This window comes from Homo sapiens, chromosome 8 (genome assembly GCF_000001405.40).
Source record: "Homo sapiens chromosome 8, GRCh38.p14 Primary Assembly".
Lineage (NCBI taxonomy): Eukaryota > Metazoa > Chordata > Mammalia > Primates > Hominidae > Homo > Homo sapiens.
The window spans coordinates 115,201,565-115,226,785 of NC_000008.11; the positions used below are offsets into that span (position 1 = coordinate 115,201,565).

General features: G+C 38.1%; 6 annotated features.

The window, feature by feature from the left end:
- Positions 7,632-8,176: an enhancer, noted in NCBI's record as "OCT4-NANOG hESC enhancer chr8:116221425-116221969 (GRCh37/hg19 assembly coordinates)". NCBI's record gives its function as "activates a minimal SCP1, AML or CMV promoter by ChIP-STARR-seq in primed H9 embryonic stem cells {active_cell/tissue: H9 hESC(primed)}" and the evidence as "EXISTENCE:reporter gene assay evidence [ECO:0000049][PMID:30033119]".
- Positions 10,352-10,961: an enhancer, noted in NCBI's record as "OCT4-NANOG-H3K27ac hESC enhancer chr8:116224145-116224754 (GRCh37/hg19 assembly coordinates)". NCBI's record gives its function as "activates a minimal SCP1, AML or CMV promoter by ChIP-STARR-seq in naive and primed H9 embryonic stem cells {active_cell/tissue: H9 hESC(naive and primed)}" and the evidence as "EXISTENCE:reporter gene assay evidence [ECO:0000049][PMID:30033119]".
- Positions 10,962-11,571: an enhancer, noted in NCBI's record as "OCT4-NANOG-H3K27ac hESC enhancer chr8:116224755-116225364 (GRCh37/hg19 assembly coordinates)". NCBI's record gives its function as "activates a minimal SCP1, AML or CMV promoter by ChIP-STARR-seq in primed H9 embryonic stem cells {active_cell/tissue: H9 hESC(primed)}" and the evidence as "EXISTENCE:reporter gene assay evidence [ECO:0000049][PMID:30033119]".
- Positions 15,260-16,093: an enhancer, noted in NCBI's record as "OCT4-NANOG-H3K27ac hESC enhancer chr8:116229053-116229886 (GRCh37/hg19 assembly coordinates)". NCBI's record gives its function as "activates a minimal SCP1, AML or CMV promoter by ChIP-STARR-seq in naive and primed H9 embryonic stem cells {active_cell/tissue: H9 hESC(naive and primed)}" and the evidence as "EXISTENCE:reporter gene assay evidence [ECO:0000049][PMID:30033119]".
- Positions 16,094-16,926: an enhancer, noted in NCBI's record as "OCT4-NANOG-H3K27ac hESC enhancer chr8:116229887-116230719 (GRCh37/hg19 assembly coordinates)". NCBI's record gives its function as "activates a minimal SCP1, AML or CMV promoter by ChIP-STARR-seq in naive and primed H9 embryonic stem cells {active_cell/tissue: H9 hESC(naive and primed)}" and the evidence as "EXISTENCE:reporter gene assay evidence [ECO:0000049][PMID:30033119]".
- Positions 21,112-21,241: an enhancer, noted in NCBI's record as "active region_27819". NCBI's record gives its function as "activates an Ori minimal core promoter by ATAC-STARR-seq in GM12878 lymphoblastoid cells {active_cell/tissue: GM12878}" and the evidence as "EXISTENCE:reporter gene assay evidence [ECO:0000049][PMID:35858748]".

Sequence of the window (25,221 nt, forward strand, 5' to 3'; positions counted from 1 at the left end):
TTTCCAGTAACAATCCATACATTAAATATTAGTACACTATATTTCTCTTATTTCTACATTAAAAATTATAAACTACATCTTTATGGTGGAGACACAACATTTTGGAAGCCACTGCTCTCCAAACCTTTTTGATTGACCACCACATAATTAAAAATACTTTAGCTGCACTCCTCCTGTATTTGTGGGTTGATTGGCTTATGTTATTCAAATATATACATCCATACCACTGTTACATATGCTATAAAATATGCATAAAGTATACATAAAGTGAAAATTAGATAAGTATTAAATGAACAATATTTATGAATACTTTTACTGTATTATTGATACAACATTAATCAGGCTATATATCAATATAAAACTAGTACAAAATTAATGACAAAAGTTAGTCCTTTAATAAATACCATAACTATTATTTTTTGATATGAATTTTAATGTCTGTCATAGCTTAAAAAGAAATCTATAAGGTCAAGTATATACATATTGAAGATATTTATGGTTGGGCCATTTTTTATTCCCATCTACAGATATTCAAATATTTAGGTTTTAATTTGGTTGGAAAAACTCAATCTTCTGATATATTAATAAAAAATTAATTTATCCAAATTAATACAAACATGTTGGATGTTTATTTATACAAAGATTTTAAAATTATTAAAACAACTGGAAGATTTTTAAAGTTTTTTAAAAATTATATTTCTATGTTTTTAAGTATGCAAATATGAGACTTTTTTTTAATAGGTGACTCACTTGAATGTTATTTGGCAACAAAATCTACACAATTCCAGGCATGCTTTTTGAAATATACTGTCCATAGCATATGTGTTTTATCTTGTTTTTAATTTCTTTCACATAAACACGTTAAATGGAAATAATAAGTTCTTAACCTTTTGTGCTGCACACTATCAAAAGCTTTTAGTCTTCACAGTGAGCTTACTACTTTGGGGATCTCATCTCTTATAAAAGAAAATGTATAAATGATGTTTAAGTTTATGAATCCTTGTAAACATTATGGCATGGCAGCTGCATTTCACCAATATTCATTCTTTCTTTTAGTGAGAGGGTTGCTCAACTTTAGCTGGACACATGGACACATAGTTAAAATTATAATTTCTCATTTCCCTTGCAGCTGGGTATGGTATGGGAGGCCAGAATATGCCACCCCAGTATAAACTTCTTTAGCATATTCTGAGTTGGTAATTTGAGAACCGAAGATAGAAATATCTGAAAAGCTGTCCTTTTGATTTAAAAAATTTACATGTATCTATCTTACTAAGATAAATACTAGATGCAAGTTAGTTTTTCTGTTAGGCCCCTTTACCTACCTAAAGAAAGATAAAGTTCAGAGATGGCCCTCAAACATCTTTATCTTCCCAGATAAAGTTCTGAGAAGTCACCAATTCTTCTGATGGCTATTACCTAAAAGATTTTATAACACGACGGCCTTTGCTCACCAAGCATTTCCTCCCCTCACCCTTCTATAAATAGCTGATGCCATCCCACTCTCCAGGAACCCCACCCCCCTATCACTTTCTGTACAGTATAACAACTTCATTTATCTGGCCATTGGGTCTCATATTTTGTATGGCTCCCGTGCACACATATGCATATAACAAATTTGTATGTCTTTTCTGTTAATCCGTCTATTGTCAGTTTGTTTTACAGACTCAAATTATCAAGTCTTCAAGAAGGAGGGAAGAAAATTTTCTTCACCCCTACAGATTTGGTGAGCCAAGAGAACAAATCACTCTACTCATTGGGAGCCTGCAGATGGGATCCTGGGAAAACTTACAAAAAAACCAGCAAAGAAAGATAAACATTTCTTCCGATGTCTCATGTCCCTGCCTGCAGTGCCTGGTTGATGTGGGTGGTAAGAGTGTCTTCTTGTCCCTTTTATCTTTACAAATCTATATTAACAGATGGAAGTGTGTATGTAAACTAGTTCTTATATTTGTTGGAATCACCTTAGGAATAAATAAATTAGTTATATTTAAAGGAAAAAATGTTAGAGGGTTCTTATCTTAACCATCTGTCCTATTGGTACATACGGAAAATCAAATTTAAACAAAAGACACTTCAGCCTGAATCTCCAGGCCTTTCTCAGTCTCCTGGAGATGTAAATCTTGCCATGTTTTTGAAATGTAAACATTCAGGGAGTTAACTAGACAGTCACTATACCTAATTGAACAGAAATCAGATTTAAGGCAGACTTAAAGTCTTTTGAACCCTCCATAAATTCCTTTCCTCACTAAATTACTTTAGCTCATGAGAGAAACATTTACTTTATAGAAATTAGTTAGAAATATTTGTTTTGAATTTGTATGGCTCATCTTTTGGGATACCCATTTATTAGTAATCTTTTTCTTCCCATAAACAGCTTTTGTTTTCCTATTTGTATCATTTTTATTTTCTGTCTATCAGTAGCACATGGATTATTAAGCCTTCATGTGTAGGCACCCAGCTGAAAGGTTGGGAACCCCAAGAATATGACCAGACAGAAATGCAAGTTGCACCCCATTTGTGAGTAGCATACTGATGGTTGTTTAAGCTTTCCTTTCTTTATCCCTGTCTTTGGCAGTTGTCTGGATTTTGAAAGGGCTGAATTTTATTTTGCTTCCTCTTTAGAGACTTGGTTAAAGTCATAAAGTTTATTTGCTTTTGTCTCATGTATGCTTATTTATTTTGATTTCAAGTCACTTGTAGGTATATTTTTGATATAAAACGTTGGTTTCTATTTAGAATGCAATAGGAACATGCTATTTTGTTTGTTTAGCCTTCTCCCTTAAGCATAATGGAACCACATACTCTGAATAAAAGAAAATAATTTATTAAAACATATCAAAAGCAAACAGCTTTCAGTACAGAACAGAGAAATCTTTTGATTTGCATCTTAGCTGGAAATCTGCTCCCTGTTATAAAAGAGCAAATTAAAGATGATACTGTTGGATGTATGGGTTATCATCTAGATATCATTCAGGTTGCCACACAGTTTTTAGGGGAATTAAAAGCAACTGTCTTTGTCTTACAAGTTAAATATTTCAAAAAAACAGAAATGTTTCTTTGATAGAAATTTAAAGCCCACCTGTTCTTGCTAACCACTGAACTGCAGTTATTTATCTTAAGATGTCTGAAAATACTATAAAAAATCAAAGCATTAGAAATGAGACTCTCCTGCTCTTAAGAAATGGAAAAAAAATTGAATGCTGATTATACAAGATGTCTAACATGCAAATATGTCCCTCCAAAGTCATTCTTGGAAAAACTTGCATTCTTTCCCTATGCCTTTGAGATGAAAATTTTCTAACCAGTCTTGCCCAAGAAACCACTCCATTTAAAATGCAAATTTGAGGGAAATGATTCTCAAAAGAAAAAAATAAAACAGTTTAATACTGCTATTTGCCCTTGCTAAAATGTGATAATAAGTTTTTTTAATTTAAAGAAAAGAGCTCTATGATCTATGGTCAGAAATTGGCTTAATTAAAAGCTAATATTGAGACTCTCTCTCTTTCTGTGTGTGTGTGTGTGTGTGTGTGTGTATGTGTGTGTGTAAGGTCTTTGTTGTGTGTTTTAGATCCTGTTTTTTCTATGGGAACTTATCAGTTAACTGAATTCTATGTTTCTGTATATTTATACATGTGTACATGTATGATATATGTGTATGATATATGTGGTGATGACTTGGTATAAAATCCCTTGAAGGAATTTAGATAAATGAGCCCTAATAAACTTAAATCCTAAAACTAATAAAAATATAGAAATTAACTTAAATACTTTTCAAGTTCATGTGAATTGGGTGGCTCTTTCGTAAATAAGACTAGGTTAATATCATTGGTTTAAAAAAGACAAGTCTTCTGAATTATCAGTAAAATACTCGTGTATTTAATTTTAATATTCTTACACATGTTATAAAAATCATTAGCAGGGTAATAACTTACTTCATTTAATGTCTTATTGCATTTTAATGAGAAAAAGAAAACTAAATATATATAAGTGGGATGAAAGTTTATAAATGCACTTTTTAACAGTAACTATTTTGTAACATGTTTGCTTAAATAGGTTTCCCAAATCTCTTTGGTAACTACACCCTTAGAAATCTGCTAAGTTAAATCAAATGATAGTCATTGAATATCTAGATCATTTCCAAATTTGATAAAATATTGAAACATTCATTGCTGAACATGTTTATTTGCTTTTGGCTTCTTAAATTTTATAAAAGACAAAATATATTTGGGTCTGTAAGTATATAGGTCCTGACCCACATTTAAAAATTACACAATAATCAAGCATATATTTTTATGTTATAAAATAAATAAGTTGGTATGTGACCGTTTAATTGCTTACTTTTTAGGTTTTCAATAGAAATTAAGGTTACTAACAGTAAAAATTTTAATTACCGTATGTAATTAAAACTGCTAAAAATAAAGGAAACAATTCTGTATTCAAAGCATACAAGGAAAGTAAGATGGGGTGTTGGTTAATAAAGTTATAAAGCAAGCATGAGGCTGTTCTTGTTGAGCAAAAAGCAATTTTGACCATTTAGAAGGATATTTAAAGATTGTTTCAGAATGAATAAACATAAGAGTGATATTGATAAAACTGAATGGATAGGTTATGAAAGGTGTATGAAAGATGATTCTTATAAAGAAGAATTTAAGTATGATTAAGTTGACTAAGAATAAAAAGAAATTATTTATGTTTTTTTTAAATTAGCCTTAATATCAAAAGGAGACTAATATAAAACTAGAATTTGGTCCTCTCTTTTAAACAAGATTTTTGTTTAGTATTGATAGGGAATGATAAAAAAAAAATTTTTGTTTACCTTTTTCAGAGAACTGCAAAAAGAAAAAAAAAGGGGGGAGAGAGAAACAGATTCTGTGTACTGCATCCTGTCTTTTGATTACTTGGAAAAACTGCTTCTCTTCTCTCTATCAAAGAGTAAAGGTTTTTTGTTTTGCTTTGTTCTTGTTTTTTACAACTATGTAACTTCCTGTGTTTGCTTTTAAAATGTTTTAATTCTCACTCTGATTAAAAGAATGACTTATTTTGCAGTAACCTATAATTCTATTTTGATGAAGTGTTTAGAACCTTTATTTCTGACAAACTTCCCAAAATCAAAATTAAGGTTTTTTTGGCTTTCAAGTACCTTTTGGGTATTCTGGAATGACCCCTAGAAGTCCAAAAGAGAGATATTAAACCAATTAGGTCTATTTAATATAAATTATATAGTAAGCACTGTAAAATTGGAAATGATATTTAACATTCTTTGAGTGATATTTATATGGGTATGTTATTGATATGAGTAATCCAAAATTGTATGAAATTTCTAGAATTCTGATATTTTGTCAGTCATAATTCTGGTTATTTTGTTATAGTTTTCTACGTGAAAAAAATAACCACTTTTTTAATCAATGGCTATTTATAGTAAACTCATTTGATTTTTAGCCATTGCCATTCTAAGTTTTTGTCATCTACAGATAATGGCATTGACTCATCTCTATAAATGTTTTGCAATTAGCTACAGCGCGAAATTGCTTCTTCAAAAAATTTATGGTAAGGACTCTGGCAGGTACTCTGAAACACTTTCTGATGACTTTAAACCATATTATTAGACTGGGTAAGATTTCTAGAACTCTAATAATAATTTTTTAACAAAGGACTCATAAAACTGCTAACCCAACATCTAGTTTTATGAGCCCAAAATTTGCATTAAAGAAATAATTAATTATCTGATAAGAAGAAAGAAAAATTAATTATGTGGGACTGAACTGATGAAGGACTATATTTTATGACTTTTGTTTGAAACATTGCTGTTTCTTTTTGTGTTTTGTTTTCTAGATTTAAGGAAACTTTTTTCTTTTAAGCTTTCTATAGCTTACAGCAATCTGGTAACATATGCTTTTATAAACAGAATTTAAACATTTATATTTTTCTCCCTGCCTAATTTATCCAAAATATGGAAACCATTCATCAGTATTCTTACTTTATGGCAATATTTTTATCCACATAAGTTCAATAAGAATCTCTGCTCTTTGTAACAGGACAATTGGTAACACTGGTTACATTACCAAGATAGTGACTGGAATGTCATATTCTTAGATATGCTCAGACAGCCTTGAGAAACTGAGGTTGACTTTATGAAGCCAATAGAAGCCCTTGGAAAACTGGCCTGGTATCTTGAATACATGCTTTTCTTACAGGGTTCCCAGCCTTGCATTAAGTAAAGAATGTTACTTCCCGACAGTTCAAGGAACTTCAGAGTATTTTAGAAACCTCAAGAAGATAGGAATTTCCCTAGGTAATACAGGTAAAACCTGATGGCAAGTTCTTGGCTTAGCTTCATAGCAATGAGTGGTTTTTAAAGGCCTAATCTGAGATTCCTTATGAAAAATTCCAGCAAAACAAAATTTTAAAAGAGCCTATATGGTCAATCATCATTCTTGTGGCACCTTATGCAAATAATCAGGCCACATTCAATGAGACTAAACTCATTTTGCAAATAAATTCATCTTATTATGATTATCTTTTATGCAAACTGGTGTGAATGGAAAGAGGAAAAATTAGGTTTCAGAAGAAAGCTATATAGTACAATCATTATTATATTTCAACCCTGCTCATTATTTTTGAGATTTTTCTTTACCTGCAATTAGGACTGGATTCTAAATTTTTTTTGGCTGTAAGTCTCCAAACTAATTTTACCAATTTTTCTCCCATTCTTCTGACTTGGAATCACAAACATTAAAACCTTGCAAGCAGAAAACTGGTCAACTTGATAAATACACTCAGAGAAATTACTACGTCAGCTGCATTTAAACTGCAAATCAGGAAAATCTGTCAGATTGCCATTGTCTGCTTTTGCTTTCACTGAAGATGCTTTGAGCCAACATCTAGAAATCTCAGCTGGCTGCCCTTCAAACTCAAATGTTAGTTTTTAGACTGCTTCAAGCATTAACCTTTGTTTTCATTTTGTTTCCTTAGAAATGTCTCTTATTAAATACCTGTTTTATTGAAAGATATAGAGGCCTAACTTTGGGAGCCCAACTGCAACGCCAGTTCCTCAAATGAGACACAACTATTTAACTGAACTGACCTATTCTCAGGACAGAACTAACTTAATTATCAGGACTACAAGACTGATAGGAGGTTTTAATAAATGAAACTTTCTGAAAATAAAGTTTCAAAAGGAAAACTCTGGAAGACCAGAATAAACTTCTTTGGCATATTTTGAATTGGAAATCCAGAGACCTGAAAATAGGAATAGCTCCGAAAAACTGTCCTGTTGTAAACGAAATTTACATGTTTCTACCTTACTAAGGTAAACAGTGGATGCAAGCAGAGGTTTCTTTTGGAGCTCCATTTATCTCTCTAAGGAGACATGATGTTCTGACATCTCCCCAAAACTAAGATTGTCACAGAGAGCCGCCCATTCTGACTACTTTTATCTAAGAGATTTCATAACAAGACAGTGTTGCTTACCATGTGTTTCCTCCACTGACCTTTCTATAATCTTTTGCCACCACCCTCCAGAAGCCCCAAGCCCTTATTCCTTTCTGTAGGATATGAAAACTTCATTTATCTGGCCGTTCTTTGAGTCTCACATTTTGCGTGTCTCCTTTGCACAGGTGTGCATGTAATAAATCTGTATGCATTTTCTCCTGTTGATCTCCCTATTGTCCATTTATTTTATAGACTCAGATTATTGAACCTTCAAAAGGAGATGAAGAAAAATTCTTTTTGCCCCTACATGGCCATGGAAATAAATTCTGGCAAATGGAAGGTGAGCTTAAGTAAAACAGGATACTTCCTGATTTGTATTGTCCTGCTCTTCGGATCCTCTACCTTTAATGGCTGGAAGGTGGTTAGGATACTAATCTTTAACCATGCAAATGAGAGAAACAGCTTGAAGATGGCAGAGGAACAAAACATAAAAAAAGCCATCTTCACCATCATTAAATTGCCATTCTAGCTAGCTCTGATTGCACACTTGGATGCGTCTTTGAGGAAGAGAAAAACAGGAACAAGAGCCCTAACTTGTTGTCTACTTTACAATGTGTCATCTTCAGCAACTGTACTTTGGAGAACATTTTTTTAACAAATCCACTTTTTAGATATGTAAATATTAACAACTGGAAAAAAATAACAGAGGGAGATCAAACAGGTTCGTCAAAAGGAGGGAGCTAGGGAATTAATTTTCTTTTCATTCTACCTTTTTTAACTTTATTTTTCCTGTTAATTTGGCCGAAAACTAAATTCCAAACCATTTAATTAGTTCAAGAATGGCTTTGCTTTTTTTAAAAGAAAACATACACAGCCTCTACCAAAACACTGCATTGTAAATATATCATTCATATATTACTTGAAAAATAATCTATTTAATATTTGTATTAGCCAGGGTTCTCCAGAAAAAACAGAAACAATCGGATATAGACAGATAAGATAGGACTTACAATATGAAATAGCTCACATAATTATGGAGGCTGAACAGTCCCACAATATGTCATCTGCAAGCTGGAGATCCAAGGAAGCTGCCAGTGGAATTCAGGCTGAGCTCTATAGGACCCTACTTCTGGAGTGTAAAGTTGTCCTAAGAAGACAATCTTTAAGAACTGATGTTCTAATATAATCTCCTCCTTCCACACACAAGACAATGTGACTCAGACCCTCACATGAGAGATAAGTGTCTGGCCCCAGGTTACCACATCAAACTCAGAGCCTACACTAAAATCCAACTCTCTTTGCTTCATTTATCAAAGCTGAACTGGAAAGAAAAGGACAATTTTTCTAGCACACTTAAGTATGTAATCTTAATTTGATGTGAAAGGTAGGGAAGATATGGTGGCAGGTGATAAAGGTGAGAGGAGAATTTTTAAAACAATTTTTACTATAGGCCTCAAAGTGGCCAAATGTCATATAAGACATATTGTCAGAGGCATGTGAACCAGAGAAACTCCATCTTGAATAAGAGCTGGGTAAAATAAAGTTGAGACCTACTGGGCTGCATTCCCAGATGGTTAAGGCATTCGAAGGGGTCACAGGGTGAAATAGAACGTCGCTACAAATACAGGTCATAAAGACCTTGCTGATAAAATAGGTTGCCATAAAGAAGCCAGCTAAAACCCACCAAAACCATGATGGCCACAAGAGTGACCTCTGTTTGTCCTCACTGCTACCCACCCACCAGCATCACGACAGTTTACAAATGCCATGGTGACATCAGGAAGTTACCCTATATGGTCTAAAAAGGGGAGGCGTGCACCCTTGTTTAGCATAAAATCAAGAAACAACCATAAAAGTGGGCAACCAGCAGCCCTCAGGGCTACTCTTTCTATGGAGTACCCATTCTTTTATTTCTTTACTTTCTCAACAAACTTGCTTTCACTTTACTCTATGAACTTGCCCTGAATTCTTTCTTGCATGAGATCCAAGAACACTCTCTTAGGGTCTGGATTGGGCCCCTTTCCTGTAATAATATGGAATTCTTTTCTAAATAAAAGGATTCTACAGGTAAGCAGAATTAACAGAAAAGAGCAGCCTCCTAAGACTAAAGCTTCTTTATTCCTTAAATCTCCATCTCCCCTGAAAAGAATGTTTTAACAAAAGACATAATCCTTTCAAAAGAAATAAATCATAAGTTAAATAAACACAGAGAATTATGCAGCTCCCCTTTATTTGAAGGATGAGAGCACAACAGTGCACTTTGAAGGAGTGCAATTACAGCTTGATGCCCTAGGACACACTCTATGCACCCAACCATAAATCAAAGTCAATCTCCAAAGCAGATATGCTCAATTCTATCTATAGAAGTAAGGCCTCATGCTTGTTTATCACTTCCTAAGGAGAGGGATAGACAGACCTTGGGTAAACTCTCCCATATTTGAGTCAATCCAGAATGTTCTTGAGATATATGCTTATGTTACCACATTCCTATAGAATCTTATACAGGACACAGTTGACCTGGGGGAGAGCATGCTAATAAATTCATATAAAACTTAGGAAAGCAAACTGGTGAAACACAATCATAGTCCCCATTGGTAACTTATGGTGACTCCTTTAAAATTCCATTTCTTTCCTCAATCAACAGGGTTTATGGAAATGGAGAGTGTGACAGGCTGTCAGAACTAAAAACAAACAAACAAACAAACCAGCATCTCAACAAAGAGATCAAGACATCACTCTGATCATAATATCAGTGCTATGGCTTAAATGTCCCCTCCAAAACTCATGTTGGAATTTCATCCTCAATGTGCTTGCATTGAGAAATGAATTTTTAAGAAGTGACTGGATCATGAAGGCTCTGCTCTCATGAATGGATTAACCCATTCACAGATTAATGGATTAATGGGTTAATGGGTTATCATGGGACAGGAATTGGTGGCTTTACAAGAAAACGAAGAGAGACCTGAGCTAGCATGTTAGCACACTCAACCTCCTCCCATGTGATCCCCTGCACTACCTTGGGACCCTTCAGAGAGTTCCCACCAGCAAGAAGGCTCTCACCAGATGCGACCTCCTGCCCTTGGACTTCTCAGCCTCCATAACTGTAAGAAATAAATTCCTTTTCTTTATAAATTATCCAGTTTCAGGTATTTTGTTATATGCTACAGAAAATAGACTGACAGTGTTTAGCAGCCCTTACTGGATATACTAACAAAGACTATTTAAAGAAACCACTGATAACCGCATAAACACATTGTCAGGCCTCTGAGCCCAAGCCAAGCCATCGCATCCCCTGTGACTTGCACGTATACGCCCAGATGGCCTGAAGTAACTGAAGAATCACAAAAGAAGTGAATATGCCCTGCCCCACCTTAACTGATGACATTCCACCACAAAAGAAGTGTAAATGGCCGGTCCTTGCCTTAAGTGATGACATTACCTTGTAAAAGTCCTTTCCCTGGCTCATCCTGGCTCAAAAAGCACCCCCACTGAGCACCTTGCGACCCCCACTCCTGCCCGCCAGAGAACAAACCCCCTTTGACTGTAATTTTCCTTTACCTACCCAAATCCTATAAAACCGCCCCACCCTTATCTCCCTTCACTGACTCTCTTTTCGGACTCAGCCTGCCTGCACCCAGGTGAAATAAACAGCCATGTTGCTCACACAAAGCCTGTTTGATGGTCTATTCACACAGACGTGCATGAAATTTGGTGCCGCAACTCGGATTGGGGGACCTCCCTTGGGAGATCAATCCCCTGTCCTCCTGTTCTGTGCTCCGTGAGAAAGATCCACCTATGACCTCAGGTCCTCAGACCGACCAGCCCAAGGAACATCTCACCAATCTTAAATCAGGTAAGCGGCCTCTTCTTACTCTCTTCTCCAACCTCTCTCACTGTCCCTCAACCACTTTCTCCTTTCCACTCTTCAATCTCTCCCTTCTCTTAATTTCAATTCCTTTCATTTTCTGGGAAAGACAAAGGAGACACGTTTTACCTGTGGACCCAAAACTCCGGCCTGGTCACGGACTGGGAAGGCCGCCTTCCCTTGGTGTTTAATCATTGCAGGGACGCCTCTCTGATTATACACCCACGTTTCAAGGGTGTCAGACCACGCAGGGACACCTGCCTTTGTCCTTCACCCTTAGCGGCAAGTCCCGCTTTTCTGGGGAAGGGGCAAGTACCTCAACCACTTCTCTCCTTGTCTCTACCCCTTCTCTGCTTTTCTGGGAGAGGGGCAAGTACCCCTCAACCCCTTCTCCTTCACCCTTAGCGGCAAGTCCTGCTTTCCTAGGGGGCAAGAAACCCCCAATCGCTTATTTCCGCACCCCAACCTCTTATCTCTGTGCCCCAATCCCTTATTTCCACACCCTGACCTCTTATCTCTGTGCCCCAGTCACTTATTTCCGTGCCCCAACCCCCTTCTCTGCTTTTCTGGAGGGCAAGAACCCTCCACCCCTTCTCCGTGTCTCTACTCTTTTCTCTGGGCTTGCCTCCTTCACTATGGGTAAGCTTCCACCTTCCATTCCTCCTTCTTCTCCCTTAGCCTGTGTTCTCAAAAACTTAAAACCTCTTCAACTCACACCTGACCTAAAACCTAAATGCCTTTTCTTCTGCAATGCCGCTTGACCCCAATACAACCTTGACAGTAGTTCCACATAGCCAGAAAATGGCACTTTGAATTTTTCCATCCTGCAAAATCTAAATAATTCTTGTCGTAAAATAGGCAAACGGTCTGAGGTGCCTGACGTCCAGGCATTCTTTTACGTATCAGTCCCTTCCTAGTCTCTCCAAATCTTTCTTCTTTCCCTCCCGCCTGTCCCCTCAGTACCAACCCCAAGCGTCGCTGAGTCTTTCTAATCTTCCTTTTCTACAGACCCACCTAACCTCTCCCTTCCTCCCCAGGCTGCTCCTCGCCAGGCCGAGCTAGGTCCCAATTCTTCCTCAGCCTCCCCTCCTCCACCCTATAATCTTTTTATCACCTCCCCTCCTCACACCTAGTCCGGCTTACAGTTTCTTCCGTGACTAGCCATCCCCCACCTGCCCGGCAATTTACTCTTAAAAAGGTGGCTGGAGCTAAAGGCATAGTCAAGATTAATGCTCCTTTTTCTTTATCCCAAATCAGATAGCGTTTAGGCTCTTTTTCATCGAATATAAAAATCCAGCCCAGTTCATGACTTGTTTGGCAGCAACCCTGAGACACTTTACAGCCCTAGACCCTAAAAAGTCAAAAGGCCGTCTTATTCTCAAAATACATTTTATTACCCAATCTGCTCCCAACATTAAGTAAAACTCCAAAAATTAAATTCCGGCCCTCAAACCCCACAACAGGATTTAATTAACCTCACCTTCAAGGTGTACAATAATAGAAAAAAGTTGCAATTCCTTGCCTCCACTGTGAGACAAACCCCAGCCACATCTCCAGCACATAAGAACTTCCAAACGCCTGAACTGCAGTGGCCAGGCATTCCTCCAGAACCTCCTCCCACAGGAGCTTGCTACACATGCCGGAAATCGGGCCCCTGGGCCAAGGAATGCCCGCTGCCTGGGATTCCTCCTAAGCCACGTCCCATCTGTGTGGGACCCCACGGAAAATCGGACTGTTCAACTCACCTGGCAGCCACTCCCAGAGTCCCTGGAACTCTGGCCCAAGGCTCGCTGACTGACTCCTTCCCAGATCTTCTCAGCTTAGCGGCTGAAGACTGACACTGCCCGATCGCCTCGGAAGCCCCTAGACCATCACGGACGCTGAGCTTCGGGTAACTCTCACAGTGGAAGGTAAGCACGTCCCCTTCTTAATCAATACAGAGGCTACCCACTCCACATTACCTTCTTTTCAAAGGCCTGTTTCCCTTGCCTCCATAACTGTTGTGGGTATTGACGGCCAGGCTTCTAAACCTCTTAAAACTCCCCAACTCTGCTGCCAACTTAGACAATACTCTTTTAATCACTCCTTTTTAGTTATCCCCACCTGCCCAGTTCCCTTATTAGGCTGAGACACTTTAACTAAATTATCTGCTTCCCTGACTATTCCTGGACTACAGCTATATCTCATTGCCGCCCTTCTTCCCAATCCAAAGCCTCCTTTGCGTCCTCCTCTTGTATCCCCCAGCCTTAACCCACAAGTATAAGATACCTCTACTCCCTCCTTGGCGACCGATCATGCACCTCTTACCATCTCATTAAAACCTAATCACCCTTACCCCACTCAACGCCAATATCGCATCCCGCAGCACGCTTTAGAAAGATTAAAGCCTGTTATCACTAGCCTGCTACAGCATGGCCTTTTAAAGCCTATAAACTCTCCTTACAATTCCCCCATTTTACCTGTCCTAAAACCAGACAAGCCTTACAAGTTAGTTCAGGATCTGCACCTTATCAACCAAATTGTTTTGCCTATCCACCCCGTGGTGCCAAACCCACATACTCTCCTATCCTCAATACCTGCCTCTATAACCCATTATTCTGTTCTAGATCTCAAACATGCTTTCTTTACTATTCCTTTGCACCTTAATCCCAGCCTCTCTTCACTTCCACTTGGACTGACCCTGACACCCATCAAGCTCAGGAAATTACCTAGGCTGTACTGCTGCAAAGCTTCACAGACAGCCCCCATTACTTCAATCAAGCCCAAATTTCTTCCTCATCTGTTACCTATCTCGGCATAATTCTCATAAAAACACACGTGCTCTCCCTGCCAATCGTGTCCGACTGATCTCTCAAACCCCAGCACCTTCTACAAAACAACAACTCCTTTCCTTCCTAGGCATGGTTAGCGTGGTCAGAATTCTTACACAAGAGCCAGGACCACACCCTGTAGCCTTTCTGTCCAAAAAACTTGACCTTACTGTTTTAGCCTAGCCCTCATGTCTGTGTGCAGCGGCTGCCACTGCATTAATACTTTTAGAGGCCCTCAAGATCACAAACTATGCTCAACTCACTCTCTACATTTCTCATAACTTCCAAAATCTATTTTCTTTCTCATACCTGACACATATACTTTCTGCTTCCTGGCTCCTTCCGCTATACTCACTCTTTGTTGAGTCTCCCACAATTACCGTTGTTCCTGGCCCAGACTTCAATCCGGCCTCCCACATTATTCCTGATACCACACCTGACCCCCATGACTGTATCTCTCTGATCCACCTGACATTCACCCCATTTCCCCAAATTTCCTTCTTTCCTGTTCCTCACCCTGATCACGCTTGATTTATTGATGGCGGTTCCACCAGGCCTAATCGCCACACACCAGCAAAGGCAGGTTATGCTATAGTACAAGCCACTAGCCCACCTCTTAGAACCTCTCATTTCCTTTCCATTGTGGAAACCTATCCTCAAGGAAATAACTTCTCAGTGTTCCATCTGCTATTCTACTACTCCTCAGGGATTCTTCAGGCCCCCTCCCTTCCCTACACATCAAGCTCGAGGATTTGCCCCACCCAGGACTGGCAAATTAGCTTTACTCAACATGCCCTGAGTCAGATAACTAAAATACCTCTTAGTCTAGGTAGATACTTTCACTGGATAGGTAGAGGCCTTTCCTACAGGGTCTGAGAAGGCCACCGCAGTCATTTCTTCCCTTCTGTCAGACATAATTCCTCAGTTTAGCCTTCCCACCTCAATACAGTCTGATAACAGAAGGGCCTTTATTAGTCAAAACAGCCAAGCAGTTTTTCAGGCTCTTAGTATTCAGTGAAACCTTTATATCCCTTATGGTCCTCCGTCTTCAAGAAAAGTAGAATGGACTAAAGGTCTTTTAAAAACACACCTCACCAAGCTCAGCCACCAACTTAAAAAGGACTGGACAATACTTTTACCACTTTCCCTTCTCAGAATTCAGGCCTGTCCTCGGAATGCTACAGGGTACAGCCCATTTGAGCTCCTGTATAGACGCTCCTTTTTATTAGGCCCCAGTCTCATTCTAGACACCAGACCAACTCAGACTGTGCCCCAAAAAAAACTTGTCATCCCTGCTATCTTCTCTCTAGTCATACTCCTATTCACCGTTCTCAACTACTCATACATGCCCTGCTCTTGTTTACACTGCTAGTTTACACTGTTTTTCCAAGCCATCACAGCTGATATCTCCTGGTGCTATCCCCAGACTGCCACTCTTAACTCTTGAAGTAAATAAATAATCTTTGCTGGCAGGACTATGCTGAATCTCCTTAGGCACTCTCTAATCAGATATCCCGAGTCGTCCCAATTCTTAGACATTTTATACCTGTTTTTCTCCTTCTGTTATTCCATTTAGTTTCTCAATTCATCCAAAACCGTATCCAGGCCATCATCAATCATTCTATACAACAACTGTTTCTTCTAACATCCCCACAATATCACCCCTTACCACAAGACCTCCCCTCAGCTTAATCTCTCCCACTCTAGGTTCCCACGCTGCCCCTAATCCCGCTTGAAGCAGCCCTGAGAAACATCGCCCATTCTCTCTCCATACCACCCCCCAAAAATTTTTGCCGCCCCAACACTTCAACACTATTTTGTTTTATTTTTCTTATTAATATAAGAAGGCAGGAATGTCAGGCCTCTGAGCCCAAACCAAGCCATCGCATCCCCTGTGACTTGCACGTATACGCCCAGATGGCCTGAAGTAACTGAAGAATCACAAAAGAAGTGAATATGCCCTGCCCCACCTTAACTGATGACATTCCACCACAAAAGAAGTGTAAATGGCCGGTCCTTGCCTTAAGTGATAACATTACCTTGTGAAAGTCCTTTCCCTGGCTCATCCTGGCTCAAAAAGCACCCCCACTGAGCACCTTGCGACCCCCACTCCTGCCCGCCAGAGAACAAACCCCCTTTGACTGTAATTTTCCTTTACCTACCCAAATCCTATAAAACGGCCCCACCCTTATCTCCCTTCACTGACTCTCTTTTTGGACTCAGCCTGCCTGCACCCAGGTGAAATAAACAGCCATGTTTCTCACACAAAGCCTGTTTGCTGGTCTCTTCACACGGACGCGCATGAAACACATGATAACTAAATAAATTCAAACTTGGATAATTAACAAGACAAAATTTCAGAAAGGTTTAGGAAATTAAAATTTCCCTGGAAAAATCAATTGTGGAACATGCTTTAGAACTTTAAAACATCCTTGAACAAAAATTATACTATTCCTACTATCTTCTCTAAAATATATTATCTTACTTCTGTTTTGCCTTCATAACACTGATCATGATCTGAAATATATACTTATATTTCACTTGCCTGTTGGTGTTTTTTTTGTTTGTTTTTTGTCTTCTCACCCACTCACAGAACACAAACTCTGTGAGAATAAGGGCTATATCCTCAGGATATAGAACAATGCCTACCACATGTAGGATAGAAATAATTATTTGTTGAATGCACAAATGTATAAATCTAAGATCAATCTCTCTTGTGTTCATTTTTCCTTCTGTCTTCAAAATTTCACATGAATGCCTCTTTTTGGCGGACACTAAACAGGAACCATATGAGGAAGGACTCTAAGAATGCAGTTTCTTGTTTCTCCTCTGCCTAAGAATTGTGTTGGTGGCAAACCTAAGCTGAAAATAGATAATCTGTCATGGGGTGGTAGGTTGAAATCTGGGTCTCACTACAGGCTCCTTTAGTGCTACCTCACCAAGATAGTTTCCTAATATCTCCCAAGCTCCATTGAACATAAATGTAAAATCTCTATTCTGCTCTAAGAAAAGGCTCTGAAAGTTTGCAAGAAAAACGGAGTTCCCCTAGACAGGCATTATAATAAAACTGGTACTAAATTCCATTGAGCAGAAACCAAAAGTAAAATACAGTAAGGCAGAACAAAGGAGGGTTGTTGTTGTTGTTTAACTGTTTTTCTAGTGCTTAATGAGCACCACTTGTGATGTCAGAACCGGCAGAAAAGGAGCCTGGTGTGAGCTACATGCAGGTGTGTAAGCAGCTAATGGAAGTGACAGCTAAGATGATATATAACCAGAGTGTTGAAAAATGAATTATCCATGCGGTTTAAATGGGCCAGATGATATATTGGAACACCATGTGGTTTAACACAAAGCATGGCATTCAAGATGGAAGATCCAAATCCTAACTCTGGCTCTAACACAGACCACTTTTACAAGACTGAATGAGTCATTTAAACCACACCATGCTGTGGTTTCTCCCTCCCTCAGTCAAATCAGTGTAGCAAAATGTATTACCCAGTCACAACACAGGATGTTGCGAGGAAACAAGGGTGGTAGCAACAAATGCAGCCTATTCTGAACACTGCAAGGTGCATGCACTGTGCAAAATAGCAACCCTCATGTGTGTTGTCAAGGCAGGACTCTTGCAAAATTAATTACTTTTTCAAACTAAAAATCCCACTTTCTTAAACTGGTGTAATACATACAAAATATTAAGGTTTATTACCATAATTCTGGAGTTTCTCCCTTTATATGAATTTATATAACATACCACAAATATTTAGAATTGAAAAATCCATTTCAGTTGTGCCAACAGTTGCCAATACTTCACAATATTTTACCATAATTGTGAGATCCCCTCAGGCCAGAAATATGCATCCTTGTCCCTGTATTTACAATCTTATATTTAGACCTTGCCAACTGGCCGTTTAGGTTGCTCCAAATCAAATAAACTTTGAAGCCCACACAGTAAGTATTAGATCATTACTGAGCAGGAGGTACACAGGCTGGAGGTGCAAACAAAACTCAGGGCAAAAGAGAATCACCAGACGTGAATTAGATACAGAGGCAATTATGGCATAATGAAAAAGAGTAGGACATGGAGTCAAAATAGCTGACGTTAAATACCTGCTCTGTCACTTACGGTATGACCTTGGCCAATCTTGAATAGGATTTTGGACTTCATCTGTAAAATCAGAATACTAGATTATGCCAGGTGAACAAAGGCAAGAAGGCATGCATTAATCAATTCACCCAGTAAGTGCCTATAAGAACACAAGCTTTACAGCCACATCACTTGGGGCTTTCATTTATAGCTCTAATCTTAACTGTGTTACCTTGGACGAGATACTTAACCTCTCTGTGTCTTAGTTTTCTTATCTCTAAAATGAGAACAATAGTACACACTACCTTAGAGGAATGGTTTTGAGGACTAACTGAGTTAATTTGTGTAAAATAATTCAAACAGTATGTAGCATATAGTAGCATTATCATTATTAGTATGTGCCAAAGGAAACAAATATCAAAGATCAAGGAAAACCATGCCCAAATGGAGTCACAGTGCATATCAAAATGACCTCCCAAGATCTCTTACAGATTCATGATTCCCTTACATTTAGTTTTGTTTTCTCTTTTTTTCTTATGACCAAGGAAGTTTCATAAAAATTGGCTGTTTATTGCAGATAGAATTGTTGGCTTTTACAAGCTTTCCCTCCCCTTAAAAGTTCTCACCAGTGACTGTGACATTAATTCTCTCTAACAATTGCTTTATCACAGAGAATAAACCACCATGGGAACCCAGAGCAAGAGCAAAGTTAGGTACAAAAAATTTAAAGCAGTTTTCATAACCTTATTAGAGATCAGACAAGAGGAGGCAAACAGGGTGAAAATTTCTTTTTGTTCTTTCCATGAATCTGCTCTTTGTTGAAGAATCTCGTGGGTGAGAAACAAAACAAGGTTTAATGAACTCTAAATTAAAGATACTTTGAAAATGCTACTATGGTAGGTTTCCTAAGCCAACATTTCATAGTAATGACTCTTGTCTTAGTCCACTTGAGCTACTAACAAAATGTTATGATAACAAAAATATCATAAGTTGGGTGGTTTATAAACAACAAATATTTATTTTTTAGTTCTGGTGATGGGGAAGTCCAAGATTAAGGTGCCAGCGGTCTTAGTGTTTGATGTGAGCTCTCTTCCTTACAAATGGTGCCTTCTGGCTGTATCTTCTCATGGCAAAAGGGGCAAGACAAGCTCCCTTGGGCCTGTGTTATAAGAGCATTAAACCCATTTATGAAAGTTCTGCTCTAGTGACCTAATCACCTCTCAAAGGCTCCACCTCTTAACACCCACATCTGGGAGTGAGTAAGTTTCAACATAATAAATTTGGAGGGACCCAAGCATTCAGATCATAGTTACTAAACCATTTACCCTCTTTTCAAGTTTCTAGCCTGCCGAATATACTCTTTTCTCTCAGCAAACTTCCTTACTAAAGCCCATGTTTTCATGAAAGTAATACAGGAGTTATTAAGAAGTTATTTTAGGCAGATAGAGAGGGTAAGGAGTCCTTGGTAAGGTTTTTTCTTTTAATAAAAACAGCCCCAGAAACATTTCTTTTCTAATAGAAAAACGGCTTGAATAGCCAGGCGGGCAAGATTTGATATACAAATGCCAGCAATTAGAAACTGAGTCCATCCAACATGGTGATTCCTGCCCTCTTCTCCTTGTCACCACTGTGCCAAGCATCATGACTACCTCCTGATAATTCCATGTGTGCAGGACATCATGGTGACCTGCATTTGCATATTAAAAGGCTAGGGTGGGAGGGCCAGTTTTCTCACAGGCTATGTGAATGACATACCTGGTCAAACCAATCCCCTGAGCCCTATGCAAATCAGACACCACCTCCTCCAGCCTCCTAAATAACCCACTGTTTTCCACGGGACTGGTGGGCGTAGGGGGGAGGGGGTGGGCAGAAGTCTCTCTCCACTAGGAGCCCCCCTCCCTCTGCATGGGGGAGTTTTTTCTTCTTTCTTACCTATTAAACTCTTCAGTCCTTAAAACCACTCCACGTGTGTCCGTGTCGTTTATCTAATTGGCACAAGACAAAGTACCCTGATGTTCCTCCAGTCATTGGAGTCATATCAAAAGGCATACTCCATTGGCTTCCTGTCACCAAATCTACCAATTTTCTTTCATTACTTCCCCATTTGCCCTTTATTGTTGCACATCATTCTTACTTAATGGAAGATTTGTCTTGCTTTTTCACTAAGGTGAAGTCTGTGTAATAAATCTCATCCAGTCTCACCTGCTGTAGTTCATATTTAATTATCTCCATCCTTTTCTGTAGCTACACTGCCCCTTTCCACTGGTTTCTCCACTTCAATATGTTATAGTCGGATATGAGCAGGGCAGGAGAGAGCCCAGCCCCACCAGGAATGTCAGGCATCAATCAGGTGATGGTCAGGCAATTGTTAAACTGCATCTCTAAAATAATAATTAGTCTCAACTGGCTCTCAGGAAAGGCAGTCTCCCAATACACAGAAAAATCCCAGAACTAGTGACCAGCAGTTTCCCAATAAAAGCTCAGGAGTTGGACAAGTGGGCTCAAGTATGCACACCAAGAGGCAAAATGGTGGAGTTTACCTGGCATATGACCTTCCTCTAGGAATGCTAGACTGGTAAGGGAAGAACACCTCCAGTGAGCTTGCATACAACTCTAATAAACACACTACACATGCTCCCCTCCCAAGTGCTAGCAGGCCAAAACTGCACATGTGGACAGCCCACCACAAGGGAAGAAGCAGGGGAGAAGAGATGCAAGAGCCCAGAAGCATACCAACGTATAAAACCCCAAGTCATAGGTCAAAACATGCACTTGAGATCTCAAGTCACCCACTTGGCCCTCTTCCAAGTGTACTCTACTTGCTTTCTTCCCGCTCTAAAGCTTTTTAATAAACTTTCACTCCTGCTCTAAAACTTGCTTCAGTCCCTCCTTCTGCCTTATGCACCCTCGGTTGAATTCTTTCTTCTGAGGAGGCATGAATTGAGGTTGCTGCAAATCTGTATGGATTAGCTGCCAGTAACAAATATACAAACGTGATAAAGGTTCCACATGGTAAAATGTGAAAGGAAAGTGAGAAAAACAAACAAAAAAAATCCTCCCCTCACACATCCTTCTAGCTTCAATTTTATCTTCTTATCTTCTTAAAAGTCGCAATTTTCAAAGAAGTTATCTGCAATTGGCATCTCCCTTTCTTCACTTCTCCTTTTCTCTTTAACTCATTCAAAGCAGGTTTCTGTTCCATTGAAACTATTCTTGCTGAGATAGTCAATAATCATCTATATGTCTAAGTACAGCTGACTCAGTTTTTTTCTTGTTTGACCTGGCAATAGCATTTGACCTTTCTAACCACTTCCTCCTTTAAAAAAAGAAATAACAAAACACTTTTCACTCAGTGTCAGCACACCACAACCTCCTGCTTTTCCACCTACGTCTTTAGCTGTCTTGCCAAGATCTCTTTGTTGGCTCCTCCTCATCTACCCATTTTCTAAAGGTTGGAATTTATCAGCACTATCCCGAAGACTCCATGCTCCTCTTTCTCCATGCACCTCCCCAAATTATCTCTCATATATCCATGTTTACAATAAATCTCACCTTTAGTCTAGATTGATCTTGTCTAACCTTCAGACCCATATACCCAAATTTGTGGTCCATATCTCTACTTGAGATATCTTTCAGGCATCTCAAAAAAGTTTTCTAAGACCAGTCATATCATCTCATTGACAGAAGTGCCCAAGCCAGTACTGGGGTAGTAAGCTTTGACTCTTCCCTCTTACTCACTCCTTTCATCCAATTTCTATTTAAAACATTTTGTTCTCTTCATTTCTCAAAAATAAATCATATCCTAAAAATAGCTTTTCTTATATCCAGAGATATGATTAGCTATCTTCCCTTTCCCTACACTATATGGTCCCATGGCTTTCCCTTCTTCTCCAACATGGTTATATATAAATCTAAATTATCATTTTCTTCTACTCATGTTTTACATTCATCTTAATAAATTATTCAGTATCTGTCTTCCCCAATAAGCAACTTAAATAGTTGAATGAGTGGATGATTTGATAGATGCATGGAAAGAAAAGAAGGGAAGAAGGAAGGAGGGAAGGAAGGAAGGAAGGAAGGGAAAGAAGGGAGATAAGTACATCTGGAAATCTTTACAATTAAAATAATAATTTATGAATTTAATATAATAATTTAAGGGAATAAAGTTTTATAAGAGAAATATAAAAATTAAGGAAAGAAGAAAAGGGGGAAAGAATTTAGAAAAAAATTCAGAGTTCACACCAAAATTAGAGAATAAACCTAGAAAACTTGGGACTGAGGATTGTGGTCATCTAAAGAGGTTAAACAAAATGCCCAGGGAGGTATGATTTAATGCAGTGAGTAGTCCAGTAGTTACTCATTTTATTATTGTAAGCAAGTTTCTTAATTATTCTGTGTCTTATTTTTTTATCTGTAAAATTGGGGCAATAATAGCATCAACTTCACAGGATTGTTATAAAAATTAAGTGATACTAATTGATATCATTTAATATTGATAACATCTTGCGAAAATGTAGAGTATTAGCCACCATTAGTATTTTTTGTTTAAGTGAGTGGGCTTCATGAACAGCTGCCTTCACAGTCTTCTCAGACCATCTGAACTTCCCTTTCACAGATAATCCCTTTTTCAACAGTGCAGAAAATGGACTACCTATACCCAAAATAGAGAATGCAGCCTGAAACACACACACACACACACACAAACACTCACACACACACACACACACACAGAGAACTTCATAACAGTGCTTTACAAATATATCTTGAAAATTAATGCCTCTGTGATTTTGCTCACTCTGTTGTCTCTGTTTATATATGTGTCAGGTTCTCCAGAGAGACAGAATAGGATGGATAGATAGATAGATAAATGGATATGGATATAGATATAGATATAGATATAGATATGGATATAGATATAGATATAGATATAAATAGATATCTCCCTCAGAAAAGATTTGTCATAAGGTATAATAAATTAGACTTCATGTAATATAATATAAATAACCTTATATACCTTACACAATTATGAAGACTGAAAAGTCCTCAGATCTGCAGTCTGCAAGCTGAAGACCCAGGAAAGCCAGTGCTATAGTTTGAAGGCTTCAGAGCTGAAGGACAGATAGTGTAGACTTTTGTTTGGGTCTGAGGGCCTGAGATCCACAAGTCAAGGACAGGAGATGATATCCCAGTGAACAGTCATACAGTGTTAATTCAAATTTCCTTCACCTCTTTTGTTATATTTGCACCCTCAGCAGATTGGATGATGCCCACTCACCTTGTGGAAACAATCTGCTTTACTCAGTGTACCAATTCAAATGCTAATCTCCTCTGGAAACTCTCTCCCACACACACCCAGAAATAATGTTTAATCAGTTATCTGGGCATGCCTTGGCCCAGTCAAGTTGACAAATAAAATTAACCATCTCAGTTTAGAACACCCGCCCTTCTGTTGCTGTTCAGCACCCAGGTCATCTTCTCCATTTCTCACATTTGGCTATGCAACATTATTCACCTTGTACAACATTATCCACTTCTTCTTTGTAACTCCTGAAGCCTATTGTTTCAACTCTAATGTAGTACACAGCCTGAGATTCAAATTTGCCTTGCTGGGGTGATCTTTTCTTATTCATCGTTGATGTTTTATAATCAAGTAGAGAGTTAGATACAAAAGTGCTTAATTTATGTTTATTGATTACAATTGAAACACTGAAAAAGAGGTAACTTGAACATTAGTCTGAAAACCAAAAATTAAGATGTTAGTCTCTTTTTCATAAAGTTGGTTGAGCTGTCATGAAATTTCCTTAATTCTCAATAATAAAATATTAGTGGGCCAAGTGTGACATTATATCCTCTAAAGAAAATAAATATACATTATTTTCTACTAGAAAATGGGAGAAAAGTAATGATTAAAGATTAATGGTGGCTAATGTGAAAAACTAAATAAAACTCTGACACATTAATAATTTTTGAAAAATAAAGAATATGATGATTCCCTTAGGCTTTTTCTTAAGAGACATAAAGTGAAGTATTTGAAGCAACTCTGCATAAATTCAGGGAAAACACTGTCTTCATTTATAATATTAATAGCCTAATGATGTTAGAAATAATTTAGTGCTGCCTTGAGCTTGGATGAGAACATAAAGTCTTCCAGGACTGATTTGGGGCCTACTGATAAGAAATCATAAAGGGAGCCTCATTCTCATCCTCTTTGTCAGGAATTTAGAGAATATTACTAACTTTGTTAAAAGTGATCATGTTCATATTATGTTGGTTGAGCTCCAAATATGTATTAGGTAGTACTATAACATGTCAATTATACAGAGAATATATGAAGCAGACCCTTTTCTCAAAGACTTTTCTGTCTGAATGGAAAGACACTTGAGTAAAGCTGCAATAACATACGAAATTGTAAAGACCATCTACACTATGAAGAAACCACATCAACTAATGGGCAAAGTAACCAGCTAGCATCATAATGACAGGATCAAATTCATACATAACAATATTAACCTTAAATGTAAATGGGCTAAATGCCCCAATTAAAAGACACAGACTGGCAAATTGGATAAAGAGTCAAGACCAATTGGTGTGCTGTGTTCAGGAGACCCATCTCACTTGCAAAGACATACATAAGCTCAAAATAAAGGGATGGAGGAATATTTACCAAACAAATGGAAAGCAAAACAAAGCAGGGGTTGCAATCATAGTCTCTGATAAAACAGACTTTAAACAAAGATCAAAAAAGACAAAGAAGGGCATTACATAATGGTAAAGGGATCAATGCAACAAGAAGAGCTAACTATCCTAAATATATATGCACCCAATTCAGGAGCACCCAGATCCATAAAGAAAGTTCTTAGAGATCTACAAAGACACTTAGACTCCCACACAATAAAAATGGGAGACTTTAACACCCCACTGTCAATATTAGACAGATCAACGAGAAAGAAAATTAACAAGGATATTCAGGATTTGAACTCTGCTCTGGACCAAGCAGACCTAATAGACATCTACAGAACTCTCCACCC